At 41.9% G+C, this 13,842-nt stretch overlaps 1 protein-coding gene across 14 annotated transcripts in view; it reads right to left on the bottom strand.

Moving 5' to 3' along the window:
* The window catches only part of PIP5K1B (phosphatidylinositol-4-phosphate 5-kinase type 1 beta), a 303,937-nt gene that overhangs the window by 19,454 nt on the left and 270,641 nt on the right, over positions 1–13,842 (bottom strand). The gene's annotated exons all lie outside the window — the stretch shown is intronic.

Here is a 13,842-nt window from a genome sequence, read left to right as displayed (position 1 = left end):
CAGATGTGAGCCACTGTGCCCAGCTTGCTCCATTTTTATAGTGTTAAAATTGGGTATTAATTTAGGGGCTCATGGATATACAAAATTTTTCCCCATTAAAATCAAAGTTATGTTTTTAACCTGTGGAAATTTGCCATGGGAAGGTTTTGCTGGAACAAAATATTTGAAAAAAAAAAAGAAAATGGAGAAGAGTGTGATATTGGTGTTGGGAGAGTTGGCAGAAGGCTGGCCATTGGCCATGTGGAGGGAACCAACAGCAGCCTATGGTCTTCCCTGGGTGGTAGAGCTGAGGGCAGGGCTGGGGAAGGTGGGCTTCATCTCTCCTCTTCCTCTGCGACCCCTTCCAGGTTTAAATCAGAGCTCACCTCTTCTGAAAACTCCCCATCTAAAGGCATCCTCTGAGGTTCCTGTCTAAGCCTCCAAGCTGAACAGGAGGCCACTGAGGACATTATAATCTCTGTCTTTCCCGCGTCTGGGAACCTGGGAACTGCACATAATCCTGTCTTTGTACATATTTACCTATTAATTGAAGATATGTGAAATATTAAAAGCCCTGACCTTTTTAATATTAAAAAAAAAACTTGTTAAAAGAATTGTGTGGATTTTTTTTTTTTTTTTTTTTTTTTTTGAGACGGAGTCTTGCTCTGTCAGCCAGGCTGGAGTGCAATGGCACGGTCTTCGCTCACTGCAATCTCTGCCTCCTGGGCTCAAGCGATTCTCCTGCCTCAGCCTCTCGAGCAGCTGGGATTACAGGCGCCCGCCACCACGTCCCGCTAATTTTTGTATTTTTAGTAGAGGTGGGGTTTCACCATGTTGGCCAGGCTGGTCTCAAACTCCTGACCTCGTGATTCACCCACCTCGGCCTCCCAAAATGCTGGGACTACAGGCATGAGCCACCATGCGCAACAAATTGTGTAGATCTTAAGAAGTAAGGTTCACTTGTATTTTTCCTGATTACAAAAGTCATAAAGAGGCTGGGCGCGGTGGCTCACGCCTATAATCCCAGCACTTTGGGAGGCCAAGGCGGGCAGATCATCTGAGGTCAGAAGTTCGACAGCAGCCTGGCCAATATGGTGAAACCTTGTCACTACTAAAAATACAAAATATTAGCCGGGAATGGTGGCACATGCCTGTAATCCCAGCTACTCAGGAGGCTGAGGCAGGAGAATCATTTGAAGCCGGGAGGCAGAGGTTGCAGTGAGTCAAGATTGCACCACTGCACTCCAGACTGGGTGACAGAGTGAGACTTCATCTCAAAAAAAAAAAAAAAAAAAAAAACCCCAAAAAAACAACTAAGTTTTTCCATTCTTGAGTTTTTATTTATGATTTTTATTTCTTTCCTAATATTAAGTGTATCAAATATATTAATATATATCAAATATATAAAAGAATATTCTGGAAGCTCTTATATATAAAAGAATATTCCGGAAGTGTCTTTCTTTTAAATTTTTTTTTAAACTTTAATTTTGAAATAACTTTAAACTCACAGAAAAAGGGAAGGAATGCTAAAAAGTCCAGGATACCCTTCCTATCATTTGACCATATTTGCTTTGTAATTATTTATTTATAAATACCCATAAGCATTTTTTCCCTGAACTGTTTGGGAAGACTAAATTGCATACAAGTCATTCCTTTACCCATAAGCCCATCAGTGTGAATTTCCTAAAAACAAGGACATCCTTTTATATAATACAGTACAATTATCGAAATCAGGAAATGTAAAATGATATAATACCATGATCTAATCTATAGTTGATATGGTTTGGGTCTGTGTCCCCCCATCCAAATCTCATCTTGAATTGTAATCTCATAATTCCCATGTGTTGGGAGAAGGACCTGGTGGGAGATAATTAAATCATGGAGGTGGTTTCCCCCGTGCTGTTCTCATGGTAGTGAATAAGTCTCATGAGTTATGATGTTTTATAAGGGGTTTCTGCTTTTGCTCCTCTCTCATTCTCCCTCGCCACTGCCATGTAAGAAGTGCCTTTAGCCTTCCACCATGATTGTGAGGCCTCCCCAGCCACATGGAACTATGAGTCCATAAAACCTATTTTTCTTCCCAGTCTCGGGTATGTCTTTATCAGCAGTGTGAAAATGGACTAATACAATAGTCCACATTTAAATTTTGCTGAAAATTTATGTTTTATTATTTATTTATTTTGAGATGGAGTCTCGCTCTGTTGCCCAGGCTAGAGTGCAATGGCATGATCTTGGCTCACTGCAACCTCCGCCTCCCAGGTTCAAGTGATTCTCCTGCCTCAGGCTCCCGAGTAGCAGGGATTATAGGCACTTGCCACCACGCCCTGCTAATTTTTGTATTTTTAGTAGAGACAGAGTTTCACTGTTGGCCAGGCTGGTCTTGAACTGCTGGCCTCAAATGATCTGCTCACCTCGGCCTCCCAAAGTGCTGGGATTATAGGCATAAGCCGCCACGCCTGGCCCCAACATTAATTAATTAATTAATTATTTTGAGACAGAGTTTCACTCTTGTCACCCAGGCTGGAGTGCAATGGTGAGATCTCAGTTCACTGCAACCTCCGCCTCCTGGGTTCAAGTGATTCTCCTCTCTTAGCCTCCTGAGTAAATGAGATTACAGGCGTATGCCACCCCACCCAGCTAATTTTCATATTTTAGTAGAGACGGGGTTTTGCCATATTGGCCAGGCTGGTCTTGAACTCCTGACCTCAGGTGATCCACCCGCCTCAGCCTCCCAAAGTGCTGCAATTACAGGCATGAGCCACAGTGCCCAGCCTCCAAAATTTATTTTTTTTTAAATGACGCTACATGCATATAAGTGTAAAATACAGCAGAAAGTAATTCTCTTTCTCCTGCCCTCTTGTGATCCAGCATTCTCCTCCCTAGAGGCAAACCCACCCACTTTGAAAGTATTTTTCAATCTAAGAGTTACCTTTTATTTTTGGAAGCTATGAGTAAGCCACTGGCATGGTTAAGACAAAATTAACATACAAAAATTAATTAGAATATTATTTGAGACTTGACAGGTATATTTATCAATTATTTCAGCTAAAATATAGTATGATTACAGAAAAAAGAAATATCAGATTTACTTAGTAGTATCATAAGGTCAAAATTTGATAAAATCAAATGGGCATCTTTCTTTTTTTTAAAACGTTGTTATTTATACTGTTTTTCAAACAGAATAGTTTCCTATCTTAGTAAGTAGAATATTTTGAATATCATTAAATTTGGGTGACAAAAATGAGGCTCATCGAGACATGTATCCAGATTATATAAAGAACTCTTATAACTTAGCAATAAAAAGGCAAATAACCAAATTTAAAAATGAGCAAAGAATCTGGAGAGTTCTCCAAAGAAGACATGAATGGTCAATAAGCATATAAAAAGATGCTTAATGTCCTTAGTCATAAGGAAAATGCAAATCAAAACTATAGTGAGATACCACTTTCACAACTACTGGGATAGTTATCATAGAAAATCAGAAAAATTAAACTTGTTGGAGAGGAGGTAGAGCAACTGAAGCCCTCATACACTGCTGATGGGAATGTATTTGATAAAACGGTACAGCTACTTCAGAAAACTGTTTGGTCTGTCCTCAAAGCAATATGATACACCAATTCCACTCCCACATACATATCCAAGAAAAATGAAAACTTGTCCACACACAAACTTGTATATGAATGTTTGCAGTAGCATTATTCATAGTAGCCAGAAAGTGGAAACAACTCAAACGTCCACCAACTGATGAATGGACAAATAATTCATAAAATGGAATATTATGCAGTAATAAAAAGAATAAAGCTCTGATATATGCAACAACATGAGGAAACCTTGAAAACATTATGCCAAGTGAAAGACGCCAGTCATAGAGGACCACATATTACATAATTTCATTTATGCAAAATGTCTAAGAACAGACAAATCTAAGGAGACAGAAAAGCAGACTCATGTCTCTGGCTTGATGACATGAGAGAGTTGGGTTCTGAGATTTCGAGCTCTCTGGTGAAGAGACTGTGAGTGCAGGCCCGTGGAGGCCTGGGGAGCCATCTGCAATGTCCCAGGGCACATGCTGGTATAGTGCAGGCATGGGCCAGAGCACCTCCATCCTGGGGATGTCCTGCCCAGAGGTTACACACTGCTGTCCCACAAACCCAGTCTGGCTGGAAGAACTGTTTTGAAGAAGAGATCTGTTGGCCAGGTGTGGTGGCTCATGCCTGTAATCCCAGCACTTTGGGAGGCCGAGGCAGGTGGATCGCCTGAGGTCAGGAGTTCAAGACCATCCTGGCCAACATGGCAAAATCCTGTCTCTACTAAAAATACAAAAATTAGCCAGGCGTGGTGGTGGGAGCCTGTAATCCCAGTTACTTGGGAGGCTGAGGCAGGAGAATTGCTTGAATCCGGAAGACGGAGGTGGCAGTGAGCCGAGATCGCACCATTGCACTCCAGCCTGGGCGACAGAGTGAGACTCTGTCTCAAAAAAAAAAAAAAAGAAGAAGAGATTTTAGTTTGAATTATTGCCAAATTGAGGAAAAGGAAATTCCCACAAAAACCCAGTTTCTTTTGAGACATGAGAAGAGTGGCCAACTGTAAGCCTACATTTCTGAGTAGCAGTGAGATTGCAGCTGCCTTCCTTAGACCGAGCATGTCCTCTGCATTGCTGCAGGGTCCCCACCTCACTCGAGCATCCCACCCAGCCTGTTACACTCATACACGCAATCCCTCCCCATGTGTCTGCCCAACATCTCTACTTCCAGGATGAGGCCCAGGGAGGTGCAGCGGCTTGCCTGGGTTACATGGTCCCTAAACAGAGTTAGGATCTGAACTCTTTTCCAATTAACTACCCTTTTTTACAGTCATTGCTGCTAACATTTTAGAAATTTGTCATTGCAGAAACAAAAGTAGTGTACGCAAATGTGCCTAGGAGCTTGAAAATAATTACAGAATACCCACAAAAACAAATATGGTATATGATGTTTGGTGTTAGCTGTGGAGATCTTTGTTCTTTTGGGAAGAGTAACAATGAACAGAAAGTTTTGAGGAAAAGTAAGCAAAATATGCTTTCTAAAACAACATATTTAAAACAATGGATATTAAGATTGAACAATGAAAATAATGCTACTTAAGCTTCCAACAATTTAATATTTAAACCAAATTATACATATAAAAGAATTTGGGAGAATATACAGCCCTAAATGAATAATCAGGCATTTATACAGTAAAGTACCATTAAATGTATTCTGAATAATCTGAAATTATTATTGTCTTGGTATTGAGTGTAAGCTACATAACCAATTAATTAATCTTTCTATTTGTTATCCTCATTATGCAGGATCTACCAAGTGAGACCACAGCACAGAATGGCATGTTACTTGCCTAAAAATCTTAGATTAGATACTACCTAGCACCCAAAAAAGGATGAGAATACATTTTCAGGAAACAGGCACCTGAGCTGAGAAAGCATTAACAGGCAGAGCATAAGCTTTGGAATCAGATGAATCTGACTTTCAATTCTGGCTCTTGGACTTAGTTGTATGTGATACTGGGTAAGTTTCTTAACCCTTCTGAGTAAGAGCTCCAGTTTCCCATATGTAAAATGAGAATAATAATACAGAACGAGTAGGGTTGTTGGAGTGATTTGTGGTAATGAATGTAGGATGCAAATATTTAGTTATTTAATTTGTATTTTTTAGAGACAGGGTATTGCTCTGTCATCCAGGCTGGAGTGCAGTGTTGCAATCTTGGCTTGCTGCAGCCTTGGACTCCTGAGCTCAAATGATCCTCCTGCCTCAGCCCCCAAGTAGCTGGGACTAAAGGCATGTGCCACCATGCCTGGTGTTTCTTTTTAAAATTTTTTTGGTAGAGATGAGGTCTCCCTATATTGCCAAGGCTGGTGTCAAACTCCTGGGCTCAAGTTATCATCCCAAAGGCCAAGAGTTTAAGAGTCTGGCTGCCTGCCGATGTGCTGCACCATTAAGTTTTGCCACAGTTCTCTCGATTCAGACTGTCTGAGGGCTAATTGCACACAATTTGCAACAAGCCACACAGGCCTGTAATGCACTGCCATTACAGGCATGAGCTACTACTGCTCCCAGCTGCAAATAGTTATTGAGTATCCATGTATGCACACTGCACCTAGAATGGATTCTAGCACCTAGAATACAGAGATCAAATTTTAAAAGTCTGTGCCTGATGGAACTTACATAGTATTAAAGAAGACAGACAATGAGATAAGTATTTAAAATATGTATTATGTTGGTCAAAAGTGCTAAGGAGAAAAAAAAAACACACACACAGAAAAAAGATAGGAAGTGAGTAGCAGAAGCCAACTCCAAACAGCAAACTCTCCTTGCTCTGCCATCATAGGATCTCAGGCATGAGCCACATCCTCCACAGGACACTTATCAAGCCCTCCCAAGTGTCCCTGGGTGGGGACAGACACCTCTGATCAACAGTTCTCTCTAAAGATCACATTCTAACTGCCACTCTTTTCTTGGCCTCAATAACCTCTTTTAAAGGCTGGAGGTGGGTAGTCAGCTGAGGGCTGTAGAGCTGATTTTCTGCCATTCAAAAACCAGTTTTGACCTTTGCAAGTGCTATAGTCTCACATTTACTTTTGTTTTGGGCCTCAGCCAAAACAGATACTAAAAATATTTCAGTTTAACACTGTCACATTATTTTTAGCAAAGAGAGATTAGTAAAGGTTATATGCACTACTGAAGAGAAAGGTGTAACTTTCCTAATCAAGAAATGTTTCACATAGGACATAAAGTCTTACCTAGGCTCAAGAACCTATAAACTGTATGCAGGAGTATGTATGTGCATGTCCATTGTGGCTTAAAAAATAATGAAATGTAATTATCAAAAGAGTAAGGAGATAACGCAAGAATAAGTCATCTAATTCAAATAAATGCATCCATAGTCTACAGCAAAGTCTTCTCTTGAAGATGCCCCAAGCAGTAAAGGTAATATAATTTTTTTTTTTTTGAGATGGAGTCTCGCTGTCACCCAGGCTTGAGTGCAGTGGTGCAATCTTGGCTCACTGCAACCTCCACCTCCCGGGCTTAAGCGATTCTCCTGCTTCAGCCTCTCAAGTAGCTGGGACTACAGGTGCGCACCACCATGCCCAACTACTTTTTTTTTTGTATTTTTAGTAGAGATGGGGTTTCACCATGTTGGCCAGGCTGGTCTTGAACTCCTGGCCTTGGGCGATCCACCCACCTCAGCCTCCCAGAGTGCTGGGATTACAGGCGTGAGCCACCGTGCCTGGCCAGTAATATACATTTAAAAAAAGGATTTTCATTTAAATGTCTATGCCATTGATCAATTTAATATTCATTGCTCCTCAGTTCTGACTTTGGGAAGTATTCTTGCTTTTGTCCTGATATTTTTACTGCATTGTTGATTTCCTGGGCACAAGCCTATTTAGAATCAATTTCTAATTTATCTGGCTGAGAGTTTCCTAGGTTCTGTTTTAGGGGTCACTTAGAAGCAAGGATACCTCTCTTAGGAGGAATATCCTGAAAATCTAGTGGTCAGGTCAGAGTGCCCACCATTTCTCAGACTTGTGGCTTGGGAAGATCCAGTTACAGCAGCAAATTTACGTGACTGGGTTTAGGAGTCTGGCTGCCTGCCTAGGTTCTGCACCATCAAGTTTTGCCACAATTCTCTCGATTCAGGCTGTCTGAGGGCTAATTGCATGTAATTTGCAACAAGCCACACAGGAAACTGTTAATCTACTCAGCTATGTTCTTCCCTTGTAAAAACACAGAAACTGCCAGTACTCTTCCCGGGCTCTGTGCTCTGCTCTCCGAACAAGTCATAAACTTCTCACAGGTGAGAGCAGTACAGGAGGAGCGATTTTTCTTCCTGGCTGTCTCTCTAGGAGAAAACGTTAATGGCACCCTGATGCCACACAGGCCTCTGTCATTTACAGAAAAAAAAAAAAAGATTCTTTTGGTTATCAGCAACATTAGTTTGGCTTCATTGGAGAGCATTAGCCTGGCTGGACTGCTGAAAACAGTCATTGATAATTTTATAGCCTGGAACACTCTGATTTCTGTTTGCAGACCTAATGAGTGTTTTATAGCTAATTCTCATGAGAGCATTTGTTGAGGGAACATATGGTACTATCCACAGTTTTTGTCTTTTAAAAGTCATTCTCTCACTGCCTCAATTTGTTTTAATCGAAGTAATAAACATCATAATAAAGCACACAACACAGATGACTTCTGATGAAAAGCAACAACCTCCTGCCCTCCCCACCCCCACCCTCCGCCATTCCCTAGGGGCAGCAGCCCTTTTTGGGATTTCTCTTTTAATATTTTCTGGCGATTCCCTTCATGTCTTTTGATGAATCAGGGGTTAAAAGATTCTTAACCTAAGGTAGCATCCATTGATTCACTATGAGGGACATTTACCCTCTTCTACCCTGTGTCTTCTTCCAACATTTGCTATTTATATTTTATTTTGTAACTGTAAATAACATACCTAGTGAGCTTTTTTATTCCATCAACCACACACCGTATCCTTTAACTCCCCACATTATTTCATCTTTGTCCCTGCTTTCCCCTCTCACTTTATATTAGACACACTTAAAAAACACCGAACAACTTTTATCTCTACTTTGTCAGGGCTGTTCATATTTATATCCTATCTTGCAGCTATAACAAAATTGCTCCCTCTTTGTCCACAGATTGGCTCTAAAATTAGAAAATTGACACATAGAGTTTATAGTATTGTGACTATATAAATATTGTATACTGCCTGGCCAACAGTGAGTTAGGGTTATATTTCCCTCTCTGGGTTCAGAGTCATAATTGCTGGGTCATGCAAAGAAAAATGTTTCCCAAATCAAAGTTAAATGGAGTCTTTTTTTTGCCCCCTAAGTTTGCTTAAATTCATGCCACATTTTAGGCTGCTTCATGTTAGGAGGTTTTTGCCCTTCAGAAACTGTCATGTGGGGAAGAAACCTCAGAGAATATCCAGGCGAAGGGCAGAGGCCTTGATACAAGCTCTGCGTCTCTGATTACTGGTTACAATGCTGGGCAAGTTATGACACTGAGCTCCTGGTTCCTCATCTGTGGGTGGGAAAGATGCCCAGCCCATCTCACAAGGCCAGCAAGAGGATCAGTTTGGATAGTACAAGAGAAAGAAAGGCCAAGAGAGGGTAAAGCTCTTTGGGATAAGCAAACAGGAGTATCAACAGGACTCTTACCTCTGAGACTCTGCCTGTTTTCATGGGGCTTTGATGAGGTCTGCTTGCATAGACAGATTTATCGTAAGACCTTGGAAAGAATTCCTTTTCTGCTCTTAGTTTAGCTACCAGAACATTAACTGATAACAAATGTAGACAGGAAAGCTCTACCTGCAGAGAACACCCACAAATACAGCCTGGTCTCACTTAATGGCTGCAAAGACTTGTTTAGTACCAGAGCCACACTCTGCTTAAGGGCAAGCCCATTCCAGCGTGACCCAGGCGCTTCTGAAGTGATGGTCAAACCAACACCTTGTGCCCCACTGGGAAAAAGCTCACCTTTGGTTGGGGCAGGGAGTGGGTGAGGATACTACAGGGTGTGGAAATTCTCAAGCACTAGCACTAGCGCTCCTGCTGCAGCCTGGACAGTATCAGCGTGTGGCACATCTCATGCTCCTGCCAGGACAGAGCGGCTCCTTCATGCTCAGCCCTTGGCTGAGTGTGTGGACACATCTACAAAACCCCCCAACACGGACCCAGGGAAGTAGAAAAGCTTTGACCACAGTCACTGCACCCAGAATGCTTAGCCGCCTGCCACCATACAGGAGGCTTTCAGAGATCTGCTTGTTTCTGCCTTTCTCACTTTCAGCCCTGAGCATGGCTGCTGCTCTTCCCCACTCTCCCACTTTTGCTATTTTTAGACAAGGAGACTGCCTGTTTCTAATGAAGGCAGCAGAGCAGCAGGCTCTCTCCTGGTATCAACCGATGGCTCCCCTCCCCGCAGTGAGCACCAGAAGCAGGAAGCCTGCTGCAGGCACAGCTCAGACAGCAGCACTTAGAACCCATAGGCAGGAAGAGACTCAAACAGTGTGTTTCCAGGTTTATTCATTGTGAGGACAGAAGCCACAATGGCTCAGAGAACTGGCAGTGACTGAGCTCCTGCCATGAGCAGCCTCAGAGGTGAGAAGAGGGCCTCCTCTCCCTTTGAGGGGAGTGACTCTGTGTGTGATAGGATATAAATATAAAAAGGGTTCCTCCTTTTTAAAGAGGAACCCTCATCCAAGTTCAGGGACCTTTTTCACCGTATATCGCTATGAGATTTGTTTTTCTTTCCAATATCATACCCCAACATGTACACACACAAGCACAGGTGTAAAGCTAGCAGGCATCGTTGACTGTGATGTTTATACTGTGATGACTGTATTACACATGTTATTTCATTTACTCATTAAAAAGAACCCTGTTAGGTGAGGTCTCTGGCTATTTATTTTGTACATTTGAGTATTAAGACTATCTTGTCTCACCTCTGGTGGCATTTGGATTTGAACGTAGGTCTGACTGGAGTAACCTGTCCTACACATATTGCCTTGAGCCATCCAATCACTGCAGAAAATTAGCCCTTTCCTGTGTTTCTAAGTTATCCCCAGCAACCATGGTTCAATTATAAAAGAGAAAAAGAGATACAGAGATCCATTTCCCAATGACAAATCTATTTCTATATACAAGTCTTGATTATTTGATTTCATCAAAGGAACAAGGAATAGTTGTTAAAGCACAACAACAGAAACCTTCGACACCCCTACTCATATCATATACAGAAATTAATTTGAGATGGATCACCGACAAAATGTGAAAGTTAAACGTAGAAAGCTTCCAGGAAAAAACGAAGGAGAAAAGCCCTTCGGGTCACGTCTAAGAAGGGGCAGAAGGGAACTTGCTGGTGGGATGGGGGAATGTTCTTTATCTTGATCTGGGTGATGGTAACTTGGGTACATATTTTTCAAAATTTATGGAACTACAAAGATTTCTGCATTTTTACTATATATAAATTTTACTTTAATAATGAACTGTCAGCATAATAAACAGTATCTGCTTTTCTCCCTACAAAACTACCAATCATCCATTCAAATGTATACTGAGTGCCTACTTCATTCCAAGTGCTGGGCTTAAACCAAAAAGTAAGCAGACATGGTCAGAACACCAACTTAGGGAGCTTCCCAAAAAGTTGGGGCAACAACCTAAGTGTGCCTTATCTGATGAATGGTTAAAGCAAATGTGGTATACATATACAAAGGAAGAGTATTCATCCTTAAAAAAGAAGGAAATTCTGCCATTTGCAATAACATGGATGAACCTGGAGGACATTATGCTAAATGAAATACGCCAGACGCAAAAAGCCAAACACTGCATGAACTCATTTGTAAAATCTAAGAAAGCTGAACTCATAAAAGCAGAGACTAGAATGATAGTTACTGGTGGAAAGAAGAGGAAGTGAGGAGGTGTTGGCCAAAATGTATGCCAGATGAGGAAGTTCTGGAGATCTGAGGCACAGTGTGGTGACCATAGTTAATAATCACGTATTGTGTACTTGAGATTTGCTAGAAGAGTTGATCTTAAGGGTTCTCACCACACAAAAGATATAACCACGTGAGGTGATAGATATGTTAATTGGCTTGATGTGGTAATCATTTTACAATGTATCACCTTAAATATATATAATTTTTATTTGTTAAGTATACCTCAATAAAGCTGGGGAAAAACCCTAAAAACCCCCAAAAGTTGAGGAGATATATATTAATAATAAATGTTAAAAAGAAGCCAATAGGCCAGGCGCGGTGGCTCACGCCTGTAATCCCAGCACTTTGGGAGGCCAAGGTGGGTGGATCACAAGGTCAGGAGTTCGAGACCAGCCTGGGGTGAAACCACATCTCTACTAAAAATACAAAAAATTAGCTGGGTGTGGTGGTACACACCTGTAATCCCAGCTACTCGGGAGGCTGAGGCAGGAGAATCGCTTCAACCTGGGAGGCAGAGGTTCCAGTGAGCCGAGACCATGCCACTGTACCCCAGCCTGGACAACAGAGCGAGACTCCGTCTCGAAAAAAAAAAAAAAAAGAAGCCAATAATTATATGATTATGAAATATATAAATGCAAAAAAATACGCCACCAAAATAACATCCAAGACAACAACAACAGCAAACCAAAATAAAAACCTTCACCATCAAAGTAATTTCTCTTTCTTTTTTTGAGACAAAGTCTTGCTCTATCACCCAGGCTGGAGTGCAGTAGCCCAATCTCAGCTCACTGCAACCTCTGCCTCCCGGGTTCAAGCGATGTTTGTGCCTCAGCCTCCCAGGTAGCTGGGATTACAGGCAAGCACCACCACACCTGGCTAATTTTTTATATTTTTAGTAGAGATGGGATTTCCCCAGGTTGGCCAGGCTAGTCTCCAACTCCCAACCTCAGGTGATCTGCTCGCCTTGGCCTCCCAAAGTGCTGGGATTACAGCCGTGAGCCACCATGCTAGGCCCATCAAAGTAATTTCTATTAAGCTTCACAATACTGGATGGCTTCTGCTCTCTAGGACAATGTGTTTTACTGTTCATATGTGGCAGAGTCTAACATTATAATTAGTTCCCTTCCTAGAGCTCATATCCATGGAATTAAGAGAGAATATATTTAGGTAGATCCCAGAGGTGAGGCTTAGGTAGATTTAAAAAATGGCAGTATGGGCCATCCATGAAACATTCCCAGGTAGACAGCACACATTGAAAACAGGGTTGACTGTGTTCTCTAGCTAGAGAAAAGCACCATGAAGGCAACAGGAATTGGGACCTTTTGAATCATAGGGCAGGGGTCCCCAACCCCCAGGCCATAGACTGTTACTGGTCTGTGGCCCGCTAGGAACCAGGCCGCACAGCAGGAGGTGAGTGGTGGGTGAGTGAGCATTACTGCCTAAGCTCTGCCTTAGGCAGTAATCAGTGGTGGCATTAGATTCTCAAAGGAGCATGAACTCCATTGTGAACTGCTCATGAGAGGGATCTAGGTTTTGTGTTTCTCATGAGAATCTAATGCCTGATGATCTGAGGCAGAACAGTTTCATTCTGAAACCATCCCTACTCTGCCGTCCAATCCATGGAAAAATTGTCTTCCACAAAACTGGTCCCTGGTGCCAAAAGGGTTGGGGACCACTGTCATAGGGCACCGATGGCCCCTGTGGCTCAGAGGAGCAGTACAATATGTGAAAGAAGGAGCTACAGCAAGAGGCAGGGTAGTGGGGTTGTGGTAGCAACATGGCACTAAGTAGCTGTGAGTACTGTATTTGGGTAAGACATTGAATTTTCCTGTACTCCACAGTTCCCTTCTCTGTAAAAATCAGGAGTTTGGATTTGATCAGGTCTTGCTAGCTTCCAAAAGTTTTGATTCTTAGCCTTAGTTGGTCTTCTCTAACTAAAGTTTGAGATCAGAGTGGCATACTGGAAATAAAATATGCTGAATTGGAAATGCCTTTTGCTGTGTAAGCTAATGGAACCAATAAAGGTTTAAGACACAGTGAACAGGAAACAATTCCTGGCCTAAGCACTATTATTTCTCTGTACTACACCTCAATGGCATAATTCCCATGGATAGTGGTTTGCTGCCAGATACTCTGCAATCTCTATACTTGCTGCTGTCAGATTCAAACAAACAAAAATTACTCAGAAAAACAAAGCTTTATTCAGAGCCATGTTGTTATGGGTTGAATTGCATCTCCCTAAAATTCATATGTTTAAGTCCTAGCCCCCAGTACCTCAGAATGTGACCCTATTTGGGAATGAGTTTGTTGCAGACATAATTAGTTAAGATGAGGTCATAGTGGAATAGGGTGTGTCCTACTTCGGTATGACTG

This window comes from Homo sapiens, chromosome 9, assembly GCF_000001405.40.
Source record: "Homo sapiens chromosome 9, GRCh38.p14 Primary Assembly".
Taxonomy (NCBI): Eukaryota; Metazoa; Chordata; class Mammalia; order Primates; family Hominidae; genus Homo; species Homo sapiens.
The sequence above is the reverse complement of the archived record's forward strand: the minus strand, read 5'-3'. Positions and strand labels throughout refer to the sequence as shown.